The sequence below is a fragment of the Homo sapiens genome, chromosome 16 (assembly GCF_000001405.40).
Source record: "Homo sapiens chromosome 16, GRCh38.p14 Primary Assembly".
NCBI lineage: Eukaryota > Metazoa > Chordata > Mammalia > Primates > Hominidae > Homo > Homo sapiens.
Genome location: NC_000016.10, coordinates 14,038,852 through 14,052,015, shown reverse-complemented (window position 1 = coordinate 14,052,015; position 13,164 = coordinate 14,038,852). Strand labels below are relative to the sequence as shown.

At 44.7% G+C, this 13,164-nt stretch overlaps 1 protein-coding gene across 1 annotated transcript in view, besides 1 other annotated feature; it reads right to left on the bottom strand.

Annotated features, from left to right (window-relative positions):
- MRTFB (myocardin related transcription factor B) overlaps window positions 1-13,164 on the bottom strand; it is a 272,006-nt gene that overhangs the window by 214,764 nt on the left and 44,078 nt on the right. The gene's annotated exons all lie outside the window — the stretch shown is intronic.
- Window positions 738-1,350: an enhancer, noted in NCBI's record as "H3K27ac hESC enhancer chr16:14144523-14145135 (GRCh37/hg19 assembly coordinates)". NCBI's record gives its function as "activates a minimal SCP1, AML or CMV promoter by ChIP-STARR-seq in naive H9 embryonic stem cells {active_cell/tissue: H9 hESC(naive)}" and the evidence as "EXISTENCE:reporter gene assay evidence [ECO:0000049][PMID:30033119]".

Sequence of the window (13,164 nt, the reverse complement as noted above, 5' to 3'; positions counted from 1 at the left end):
TGCAAAACTTGATGTGAGAGGAAGAGACCAGATTGGAAGGTCTGGGTCTCAGCAGAGCACATTCACGAGAGGGAAGGCATGTAAAGGGAAGTCCAGGGAGAGCTCAAAATCAGAGAGTTGAAAAGAAATGAATTGTTCTGATCAGAAAAAAGGTGGAGAAGAATATTTGGGAGGCAAGATAAAAGAAGATTGGAAAGGAAGGATGTTTGGGGGATTCTGAAGAAAGATACCCAATACTCATAAGTGTGCGTTGAACACTCCTTCCAGAGCCCCTGAACCTTGTGAAGTCTGCCACATAGGCAGACCTGGTGTGTCTGTGAATGTGTGTTCTGTATGAGTGTATTTGTGTGTGTGTCTGTGAATGTGTGTCTATACGAGTGTGTTTGTATATCTATGTGTGTGAATGTGTGTTCTGTATGAGTGCATATGCGTGTGTGTGTGTGTATTTGTATGAGTGTACTGTCTGTGTGTGTCTTTAAGTCCATGGGTGTATATTTGTATGAGTGTATCTATGTCTTTGATTGTGTCTGTATGTGTGTATGTGTGTATTTGTATGAGTGCTTCTGTGTTGGTATGTCCATGGGTGTGTATGAGTGCATCTGTATGTCTCTCTGTGTGTATTTGTATGAGTGTGTCTGTGTGTTTGTATGCCTATAGGTATGTATGCATGTGTCTGTGTGTCTGTGAATGTCTATGTGTGTATGTGTCTGTACGTCTATGGTGTGTGTCTATATGAGTGTGTCCGTGTGTGTCTGTATGTCTATGGGTACGTGTCTGTATGACTGTGTCTGTGTGTGTCTTTGTGTGTCTGTGTCTGTCTCTGTGAATGTTTCTGTCTCTGAGTCTGTGTGTACTGTTGTGTCTGTCTGCTTCAGTGTGTCTTTGTCTCTGTGTGCCTCTGTTTGTGAGTTTGTGTGTGTCCAGGTGTGTTTGTGTGTGTCTTTGTCTTTGTGTGTGTGTTGGAAATCACAGCACAGGATTGAATTCCTGTGATGGTAAAGACAAATAAATCGCCATAAGAATCAGAGGGAGAACAATAAGTCGGCCGAGACAGGAGGAAGTAGAGCCCTAGGTGACAGTGAGAGTGTAAGGTGCCAGGAATTCGATGACATCTTTGCAAGGGCATTGGAATTTCCCTGGGTCTGGAATGTGGGTGGAGGTGGCGAGTCAAGACAGTATTATCGAGACCTCCAAGAGCAGGGAGACCCGCCCCCATTCTGCACCTGGAGTACGCTGTGTTATCTCCATTTTGTAGCTGAGAAAACCGAGTCTGAAAACTAGTTATTTTATTGGACTGAAGAGGAGGACCTGACTGCTGAGCTAGCAGCAGCCTCTGGCTGGACTGACCCTTGCCTGAAAACACTGAATCACAGTGAGAAAGTCATTCTGCTTTCTGTTTGCTTTCAATCCTTTTAAATTTAATTTTTAGAGATGGAGTTCTTGCTATGCTGTTTAAGCTGGACTCAAACTCCTGGGCTCAGGAGATCCTCCTGCCTCAGCCTGTGGAGTAGTAGGATTACAGGCATGCATCAAGGGAGATGGGAGAATTGCTGAAGCCTGGGAGGTCAAGGCTGTGGTGAGCTATGATCACACCACTGCACTCCAGCCCAGGTGACAGAGTGAGACCTTGTATCAAAAAAGAGGAAAAAAATTGAGACTTTGGTCATGTTAGAGGTAAATTTAGGAGCGTTTTTATTTGTTTGCTTGCTTGCTTTTAATTTCTATTTTACAAAAATTCAAGACTACAGAAAAAGTTGCAAGAACTGTAAAATAATCTCTTATATACACTTTATCTAGATTCTACCTCTGTTTACATTTTTGCCACATTTCTGTGTGTGTGTGTGTGTGTGTCTGTCTGTCTGTCTTTCTGGGTATATGCATATCTATAAGTCTATGTGTATATACATATGCATACAACATGTACACACACTTTTTTAAAAAGCACTTGAGAATCAGTTGCCAATATCATGATCTTTAATTCCTGGCCAGGCGTGGTGGCTCACGCCTGTAATCCCAGCACTTTGGAAGGCCGAGGCGGATGGATCACCTGAGGTCAGGAGTTTGAGACCAGCCTGGCCAATATGGTGAAACCCCGTCTCTACTAAAAACACAAAAATTAGCCAGGCCTGGTGATACATGCCTGTAGTACCACCTACTCGGGAGGCTGAGGCAGGAGAATCACTTGAACTGGGGAGGTAGAGCTTGCAGTGAGCCGAGATCGTGCCATTGCACTCCAGCCTGGCAACAAGAGTGACACTCCGTCTCAAGAAAAAATCCTAAATACTCCATGTATCTCCTAAGAACAGGACATTCTCTTCCATAACCGCACTGTAGTTACCAAATTCAGCAAATTTAATATTGGTACCATGCCATTACCCAATATACAATCCATATTCAAAGTCTGCCAATTGTCTCAATGAAGTCATTTCAGTCATTTTAGTTTTTTCTGATCCAGGATCCAATCCGCAATCATATTGCATTTATTTGTCATTTTTCTTCACTCACATTTAATCTGGAACAGTTCCTCAGTCTTTCATGACCTTGACCTAACTCTTTTTAGCAAAGAGAATCCAAGCTTCAGGCTCAGAGCCTCAGACTAGTAACAATATCCAGCTAGAATAAAATCAAGTTTTGTTTTCTGAGTATTTATGTTTCAATTATCATCTATTTATGGCAAGTGACACTGGCTTCTTATTTAGGGGAGTGATACATGATTTCTTTAATGTTTTTCATTTAAAAAGTCAGTTAATTGAAAGGAAAATATTAAGGACGTCATAGAACTGGCATGTAGATTTAGTCCAAGTTTTCTCAACCTCAGCACTATTGGCACTTGGGGCCAGATAATTCTGTGTGGTGGGGACTGTCCTATGAGCTGTAGGGTGTTTAGCAGCATCCTTGGCCTCTACCCACTAGACGCCAGTAGTATCCCCTGCTCTCTCTCTCTCTGGTTGTGACGGCCAAACATGGCTCCAGACATTGCCAAATGTCCCCTGGGAGGCAAACTCAACCAGCTAAGAGCCACTGATATAGTCAAAAACCATAAGAGTGGAGTGTAATTGACAGGAGCTTGGGAACCTTGGAGTAGAGCCTCTGTCCAGTTCAACCCAACCAATGTTTACCAAGTGCTGCCACATGCCTGGCTCTGCATAGGTCCCAGGGAGACAGATGAGCAGGACGCAGTCCAGCCCTCTAGGATCTCCATTGAAATCAAAAGGGGGTGGTGGATGTACAAGAGGCAGAAAAGGTGGGAGCTGGGAAAAGCTGTATCATTACCCAGAATTAAGTCTCAACCTTGTGACTTTCACAACTGCTCTTCTGCCCCAATAATTCCTTTGAAGACATGAATCAGATCATGTGATTCCCCTGATTAAAAGCTTCCAGTAACTTCCCACCACACTTAGAATAAGATCCAAACTTCTTATAGGACCTCAAAGGCCCTGCACACTCTGGCCCCTGTGTCTTCCTCTGTGGTCTGGATTTGCCTCACTGCCCATTATTCCCAGGCTCCAGCCACCCTGGACCTCTCTCTCTCCCAAGGCCTCACCACACTTGCTTCCAAGTGAGGGTCTTAGCACTGTGATGTCCTCTGTATGGAATACTCTGTCCCAAGTCTTTGCAGAGCTGGCTCTGGGTCACGAGGTCTCTGTTCAAACATCACCTCCACCAACCACTTTATATCCAGGAGCCCTCTATCCCATTATCCTGTTTGATTTCTTCCATTGTATTTCCTGTGGTTGACATTGTAGGTTGGCTGACTGACCTTCACCATCAGTGCCTGCCCAAGACCATGGGAACCCACCTCTTGCATCAGTGAGACCTGGATGTGAGACATGGAGTCAAAGGAGATCATTTTGGGGCTTTAAGATTTGACTGCCCCGTTGGATTTTGAACTTGCATGGAACATTTAGCCCCTTCATTTTGGCCAATTTCTCCCATTTGGAATGGGTGTATTTATCCAATGCCTGTACCCCCATTGTATCTAGGCAGTAATTAACTTGCTTTTGATTTTACAGGCTCATAGGCAGAAGGGACTTGCCTTGTCTCAGATGAGACTTTGGACTATGAACTTTTGAATTAATGCTGAAATGAGTTAAGACTTTGGGGGACGGTTGGGAAGGCATGATTAGTTTTAAAATGTGAGGACATGAGATTTGGGAGGGGCTGGGAGCAGAGTAATAAGTTTTGGCTGTGTCCCCACCCGAATCTCATCTTGAATTATAGCTCCCATAATTCCCATGTGTTGTGGGAGGGACCCAGTGGGAGATGACTGAATCATGGGGGTGGTTCCCCCATACTGTTCTCATGGTAGTGAATAAGTCTCATGAGTTCTGATGGTTTTATAAGGGGTTTCCCCTTTTGCTTGGCTTTCAGTCTCTCCTGCCTGCTGCCATGTAAGACATGCCTTTTGCCTTCTGCCATGATTGTGAGGCCTCCCCAGCCACATGAACTGTGAGTCCATTAAACCTCTATTTCTTTATAAATTACCCAGTCTCAGGTATGTCCTTAACAGCAGCGTAAGAACGGACTAATATAGTGCCCTTCTCCTTAGTGACCACCCAGGCAGAGGTCGCCATCTGACCCACATCTGGCCCAGGAGAGACGCAGAAATTGGCTATCACTGCCTGTTACAGGGACTGCCCCTTCCCTTTCTTCATCTTTCTGCTGAATTACAAGGGTGATGACTGGAGCTGTCCAGCTATCCTATGACCATAAGGGAAAGACCACACACATGAAGATCCTTGAGCCATAGAACCAGCACCAGCATGCTCTCATTTTCTGCTCCGGAGAGAAAGATAAAGCCCTGGGGTTTAAGCCACTATAGTGAGGTTGCCTGATACTTGCAGCCAAAAGCATCCCTAATTGACATACTATGTGAGATTCCTATGTAAATTTCCCGTTTGTTTTTCATCCATATCCCTTTAGTATTCTCTGTGCACTATGAGGCAGGAATTCACGTCTGTCTTATTCACAACCACATCTCCAGCCGCTAGGCACAGGGCCTGACTTATGATAGAGTTCAGTAACTATGAACCTGTCTGTTCTCTAGTTCCCTTACATGTAAATAGGGATCATCACAACACCTTGACAGATTGTAAGGATTAAATGAGTCAATATGTATTATATATAGCACTTAGAGCAGTGCCTGGTATATAATCACTGCATAAAGAATTGCTATTATTTGTTGACTTAATGAAGTAATTAATTTATGGAAGAAAGGATTCCTTCTCTGTGTGCTTCTGCAGCCGTGTTCTCTGGCTTCCTCTTTCTCCTCAAATCAAAGCTGTATTTACTTGGTGCTGACAAGTCAGGCTATTGATTAAGAAACATGATCGTGGCAGTTGGAAGAAAGTCACCATTTACAGTGAGCTGGAGGATTAGCACCTTTAGGGCGGTGGAGCAGGGGAGAGATGCTGACACACAAAAGGGTAGGGTGCATAAAGCCTGGCATATTCCAAAGGGCAGGCCAAGAAATGCTGGAAATGAAACCCAATATGAGGTTTTGCTGTTGTGCACCGTGGGAAGAAGAACAGAACCGTGCATTGCAACTGGTGTCCAATGAAAGCCACTCAGAGGTCAATTGGAGTTTATAGGGATGGAGATTCAACATTTGTTGTAGGGGGATGGGCTACAACCCACTGGGATCAAAGAGGTTCATTCATTCATTCAACAAAATATATATGTATATTTTTGAGACAGGGTCTCACTCTGTCACCCAGGCTGGAGTGCGGTGGCACAATCACGGATCACTACCACCTCAACTTCCTGGGCTCAAGCGTTCCTCCCATCTCGGCCTCCGGAGTAGCTGGGACTATAAGCATGCACCACCACACCCGGCCTCATTCAACAACCTACTATGTGTCATGTAGAGAGGGATCTGACAGAGAAACAGTAAGTAGTGCCTTAACTGAAATGGTCACACTGGGTGATTCCAAGGGACCCCACAGTTTTTCTTTCCTAATTGCCTTGCAACAAAGTAGACGCCAGCCCCAAATTTCAGATCCCGCATGACTTAGTTCATGACCAACACTACTGCTACTAGCTAATATTTTCCGGTATCTATTCTTTACTAGACACTCTGCTGAGACCACTTTACCAACTACAGCCAATACCACTCATTAGGAACTTAACATCTATTTCTCTCTTCTCTTTCACAAAAAAAACCTCACTTTTATTCAGGTGGCACCAGAGGGCACAGGCACCGCAATTTGACTATTAGCATCCAAACGTATGCCCTGATGGACACAGAGGTACTATTTCATTCATTTCTCAGAAGTCAGTGAGACAGAGGTTAATGTCATTTCCATTTTACAGTGGAGCAGACTGAGGTTTGGAGAGTACATGAATTGCTTCTAACTGATGAAGGTAGAATGTGAATCCAAGCAATTGGATTCTGGAACCTATGTTCTTTCTATTCTTTTGGTCTTTCCCCATTTGTACAGACAGCACATATAAACATTCTTGAATTTAACCCTCCCAAGAACTTGGCAGGTGGTGTAACAGGTAAGGTTTTCGAATATCTGCTGATATATGTTCTCTAATCTGTCTGCTGGCTTCACTCTCTGAGTCACCTCTCTCTTCACTTTTAAGGCTAACGTCTTGCAGCCCAGTGGAGTGGAGAGTGTAGAAAAAGAGACAGAGAAAGGCAAGAAGCGGTCAGCTGTGTCGGGATCTAGGCACAACTCCTAGGAGGCGAGTGTTAGGGCTTGGAGAAAGTCAAAAGCAGAACAGCTTTTGCATCATTTTCCATGTGACGTTCTGGAAACAGACAACATTAAAATCAGCTTACAACAGAGTTAGGCAGAGGGAGGGCTCAAATTTTGCATCCAGAAGTTTCCAGAATGTTCCAGGTAGCCTACGGAGGGATCTATAGAAGGTGCTGATGGTGATAATAAGTGAGACTGATTGAACTTGCTGTAGGAAGGGTGCAGTAGCTCTCAAACTGAGAGCTACATGGTGACGAGAAATGAGACAGGGGCAAAAGGTTCATGGCAACCAGACCCCAGATGAAATTTGGCACCAGAAAGAGCCAAGGTAGGGCTGGTCAGTGGGAAGATGCCTTGAGTGGACTAAGTTGACCACCAGCTGTCCAGGAGCCTACCAGTTGTAGACCCAGCAACTGTGGCCTGCTGGGACAGTGTTGGGGCAAGGGACCATATTGTCACAGAGGTCAGCAAGGGCCTCCTGAGCAGTATTCCGAAACATTGGGTTCTCTTCTATATATCCCGAATGCCACCTTGATGAGACAGAGGAGGGGAAGGAAATCTGAAATGACAAAGTCTCTCAAACCAAGATAATATGGCAATATCATTCATTGGCAGGTTCTAGTTCCTCTAGATCAATGATGACCTTATGGGCAAAACTTGGGAGGAAGATTGGTGCAGTTATGGAACATCCAGAAGCAACCTTTGCTTTGCACAGCTGAGCTGTGAAGGGAGCGTGTGCTACTGTTTAGTCCTGGTACACAGAATTCCTACTTTCTCCAGATTATAGCAGACAAGCAAACTGGAAGTCACTGTGAAAACCACCTACCTTCTCTGAGCCTCAATTTCCTTGCTTTTAAAATGGGAATAATAAGGGCCACCTCCCAGGATTATGAGGGTAAAATGAAGATCGGCGCCATGAATAGCATGACAAAGGTCACATGCTAGACATGGGACCGTAAGGCTCTCCCTGCCTTCCACCCCACTGTCTTCCCATGGACGCTGTCATGAGAGACACCTAGAGCCAACTGGGACCTGAATGGCAGCTTGGTGACAGGAAAGAGACAGGCCTCATTTTAATGCTTGTGGAGAACCTAGGTGAGGATCATCTTGTCACCAGTTGGTGTTTATTGACACTTAGTAGACTGACTGACTGACTGACTGACTGAATGAATGAATGACAAGGCCTTTACTAGGGACTACGGGAGTCTTAGACACCAAGTGTTGTCATGTGAGGCTCCAGCGTGTTTTGGTGGGATCACCTAAATGGCAGAAGTCATTTTTTCAGTCTCATAAGTCTCATAAGGTGACAGTTCAGATGTCACCTCCTCCAGGAAGACTTCCGTGATACTCCCAGTCTGGTTTAGTCACTACTGAGTGCTCCTATCACTGCACTATATGGATTAGTCTGTCCATTGAGGTTTTCTCACTTGATGGTGAGTTCTTAGAGGCAAGATTACGTCTCATTTCCTCTCCCCGTGTGCCTAGCACAAGGTTCGGCCCAAGGTGGGCATGTAGGAGATCATAGGAGCCATTTATTGAGTGCTTTCAGGTACCTGGTGCTGGGCTAAGTGCTTTAGCTATGATATCCTTGATTCCTTCAATAACCTCAGGAGCTAGGGCCACCTCATCATGCCATTGTACAGGTAGAAAAGGTGAGGCTCAGAGACGCTAAGCAGCCTGATATTTCTTCCTTGTTTCTATATCTTTCTTTGCCAGACTGCCTGGCCTAGATTCTTGAGGTTTGGGAATAGCATAAACCTCAGGGTGTTGAGGCGGTCTGGTTGGCTTGGTGCGTGGGTAGGAAGATGCAACAATGAAGAAAGAGTACATGCTAGCAGCTGGCATCCACAGTGCATGCCAGACACAGGACCACAGCACCGAGACCACCCGAGGAGAAATGCCTCGTGGCCTCTGAATGGGGAGTGTTAACCACACATTCTATAGGACCCATCTGCTAACTGATTTGGAACAAATGGGTGCTTGAGAGCTTGTGCTGTTAACATGTATGCATGATGCTTCTGGCAGAAAGAATGGGGAAAACAAAACCCAAAGTCCCCTCCAAATCCCAGCAACACATATGGAAGTACGCAGAGGTGAGCAGACATAAGATGTAGACAGCAACACAAAAATATCAGCACCATAGTCAAGAAGGAAGAACAGTGCAACACCCATTGCATATCCCATTTTAAAAATAAAATAAAATGAGGCCACAAGTTTGCTTTTCCAAGGAGCCCCACAGTCTCCAGAAGTCTCCCAGAGGACCCGTTCCTTTGCGGGCCTTTCCTGCCCAAGCTCCGGGCTACCCGTAAATCTGACCCTCTCCAGGGCCAGGAGGCCTCAAGAGCTTGGAGACTCACCGGAGCAAACAACTTAGCAAAAACAATCTGTCCCATAAACAAAGCCAGTGGAAAGCATCCAGGCCCACACAATGGAGCTAATCTTCTGGGCACACATTTCCCGTCTGGGGTATTAGCAAGGATACCGCTTCCTTCTAGGTGGAGGTAAACGCTGCTTGGCCTACGGGTCCAAGAACAACAATCCTCTGTAGATTCCCCCCTTGTTTGAAACGTAACAGGCAGGAATTCAGAAGCAAGGAGCTGTTCTTCCCCCCTTCCTTTCTTTTCTTAAAGAAGCACTGCAAATTTAAAGGCCAGGGAACTTATGGGGAAGGACATGCTTTATGAACCACACAACCACACAAGTCTCTGATTTAGCTCATTCACTGATGAGCCCTGTGATTTGGGACAACTGATTTAACTTCCCAGAACCATAACTTCCCCATGGTTCAAGTGAGATTGCCTACAGATGTCCAATCCTGCTTGTTCTCATGGAGGTATAAAATTAAAATGTTGAATGGCCACTATCAAAAACAAGAAAACAAACCCAGTGGCCAGGTGCGGTGGCGCACACCTGTAGTCCCAGCACTTTAGGAGGCCCAGGTGGGCGGATCACCAGAGGTCAGGAGTTCAGACTAGTCTGGCCAACGTGGTGAAAATCCATCTCTACTAAAAATACAAACTTAGCCCGGCGTGGTGGCGGGTGCCTGTAATCCCAGCTACTTGGGAGGCTGAGGCAGGAGAATTGCTTGAACCCAGGAGGCTAAAGTTGCAGTGAGCTGAGATCACGCCATTGCACTCCAGCCTGGGCAACAAGAGCACAACTCCATCTCAAAAACAAACAAACAACCCAGAAAATAACACGTGTTGGTGAGGATGTGCAGAAATCAGGACCCTTGTGCACTGTTGGTGGGAATACAAGATGGGTCAGCATCATGGAAAACAGTATGGAGTTTCCTCAAAAAATTAAAAATAGAATTACCATGTGATCCAGCAGACCCACTTCTGGATATATACCCCAAAGAACTAAATTTTATTTTATTTTTTTTGAGACAGAGTTTAGCTCTTGTTGCCCAGGCTCGAGTGCAATGGCGCAATCTTGGCTCTCTGCAACCTCCGCCTCCTGGATTCAAGCTATTCTCCTGCCTCAGCCTCCCAAGTAGATGGGATTACAGGCATGTGCCACCACGCCTGGCTAATTTTGTATTTTTAGTAGAGACGGGGTTTCTCCATGTTGGCCAGGCTAGTCTCAAACTCCTGACATGAGGTGATCTGCCCGCCCCGACCTCCCAAAGTGCTGGGATTACAGGTGTCAGCCACCACGCCTGGCAAAAACTAAAATTTATATACTCATGTTCATAGCAGCATTATTCACAATAGCCAAGAGATGGAAACAACCCAAATGTCTATTGATGGATACATGAATAAAGAAAATGTGGTAGATACATATGATGGATGTTATTCAGCCTCAGAAAACGAGATGCTACAACACGGATGAACATTATGCTGAGTGAAATGAGCCAGACATAAAAAGACAAATACTGTATGATTCCACTTATATGAGGTATCTAAAGAAGTCAAACTCAGAGAACAGAAATAATTGCGGTTGCCGGGGGCTAGGGTTAGGAGGAAATGGAGAGTTGTTCAATTTGTATAGACTTTCAGTTTTGCAAGATGAAAAAGTTCTAGAGATCTGCTGGATAACAATGTGAGTATAGTTCACACTATGAAACTGAACACTTAAAAAAGGCCAAGATGGTAAATTTTATATTATGTGTTTTTACCACAATTTAAAATCCTCCCCTCCCCTCCTCTCCCCGCCCCCCACTCCTTCCTTCCTTCCTTGGCAGTGTTTTGCTCTGTTGCCCAGGCAGGAGTGCAGCAGTGTCATCATGGCTCACTGCAACCTCAAATTCCTGGGCTCACAAGATCTTCATGCCTCAACCTCCTGAGTAGTTGGGACTACAGGTGTGTACCACCATGCTCAGCTAATTTTATTTCATTTTATTTGTTTTTAAAGTTTTTGTAGAGATGGGGTCTTGCTATCTTGCCCAGGCTGGTCTCGAACTCCTGGGTTCAAGTGATTCTCCTCCTTTGGTCTCCCAAAGCGCTGGTATTATAGGCATGACTCACTGTGCCCAGCCAGAGATACCATTTTTCTACCTATCAGATTGGCAAAAATAAAAATATCTGGCAATATGGAGTTAGTAATAGGCCGGGTGCGGTGGCTTGCACCTGTAATCCCAGCGCTTTGGGAGGCCAAGGTGGGTAGATCACTTGAGGTCAGAGGTTCAGTACCAGCCCTGCCAACATGGTGAAACCCCATCTGTACTAAAAATACAAAAATTAGCCGGTTGTGGTGGCAGGTGCCTGTAATCCCAGCTACTCGGGAGGCTGAGGCAGGAGAATCTCTGGAACCAGGGAGGCGGAGGTTGGAGTGAGCTGAGATTGTGCCACTGCACTTCAGCCTGGGCAACAGAGCCAGACTCCATCTCAAAAAAAAAAAAAAGATTTAGTAATATTATAGAGCAACGGAAACACTCCTACTTTGTGGATGGCAGTATAAATCAGTATAACTATTCTAAAGGGCAACTGGCCCCATCTATCAAAACATAAAATACATGTATTCTATAACCCAGCAATTTCTCTTATTATTTATCCTAGGACATGTAAGAGGATGGTCAGTTATTATTGTTATAAAAGCTAAAAATTGGAAATAATCTAAATGGCCATTAGTAGAGGAATGGATAAATACAAATGGCGTATATTAGGTTGGTGCAAACGTAATAGTGGCTTTTGCCATTGAAAGTAATGTTAAAAATTGCAATAACTTTTGCACCAACCTAATACTTACTAATCCTTATATAATTTAAAGCAATGGACAGATCTGTTTATATCAATGCAGATAGATCTCAAGAACATATTATCGGCTGGGCGCGGTGGCTCACGCCTATAATCCCAGCACTTTGGGAGGCCAAGGTGGGCAGATCACCTGAGGTTGGGAGTTCAAGACCAGCCTGACCAACATAGAGAAACCCCATCTCTACTAAAAATACAAAATTAGACAGGCGTGGTGGTGCATGCCTGTAATCCCAGCTACTTGGGAGGCTGAGGCAGGAGAATCACTTGAACCCGGGAGGCGGAGGTTGCAGTGAGCCGAGATTGCGTCATTGCACTCCAGCCTGGGCAAAAAGATAAAAAAAAAAAAAAAAAAAGAACATATTATTGAGTGAAAAAAGTTATACAATAATAGATAATAGACATAGCATATCACAAGTGTAAATTAAAAGTGCATGAAATGCTAATAATATGCTATATGAAATTATATTTGTAGTACAAATATAATTTGTATATCCAAATTATGCATATACATATATGTATATATATGTACAAATATATTTGTGCACGCATATATAGATAAGGTAATGAGAAAAATAGTTAATCGGGAAATAAAACTCTTAATTTCTAGTGTACCAGCCTGAGATGGCCCTCAGTGATCCTTGCCTTCTGGTATTCATATCCTTGTGTTGTTCCCTCCCACAATGAATAGGGCTGACCTGTGCTCTATTCATTCCACAGTCTCCCTGTAGGATACTATGAAATTGATGGCATATGATTTCCAACACTAGGACATAAAAGACATCACACCTTTTCCTTGCTCTCCTGCTTTCTCCAATGCCCGTTCTGGAGGAAGCCAGCCATGTTGTGAGGATACTCAAGCAGTCTGTACAGAGGCCCATATGATAAGGAGCTGAGGGCTCCCCCAACAGCCAACACTTACTAGAGCCACCTGAAAGGTGGATCCACTAGTCCCAGACAAGCCTTTAGATCACTGCAATCTCATAAGAGACCATTGATATGGTTTGGCTGTGTTCCCACCCAAATCTCATCTTTGATTGTAGCTCCCATAATTCCCACATGTTGTGGGAGGGACCCAGTGGGAGATAACTGAATCATGGGGGCAGTTTCCCCCATACTGTTCTCGTGGTAGCAAATAAGTCTCACGAGATCTGATGGTTTTATAAAGGGTGTCGCCTTTCAGTTGGTTCTCATTCTATCTTGCCTGCTGCCATGTAAGATGTGCCTTTTGCCTTCTGCCATGATTGTGAGGCCTCCCCAGCCAT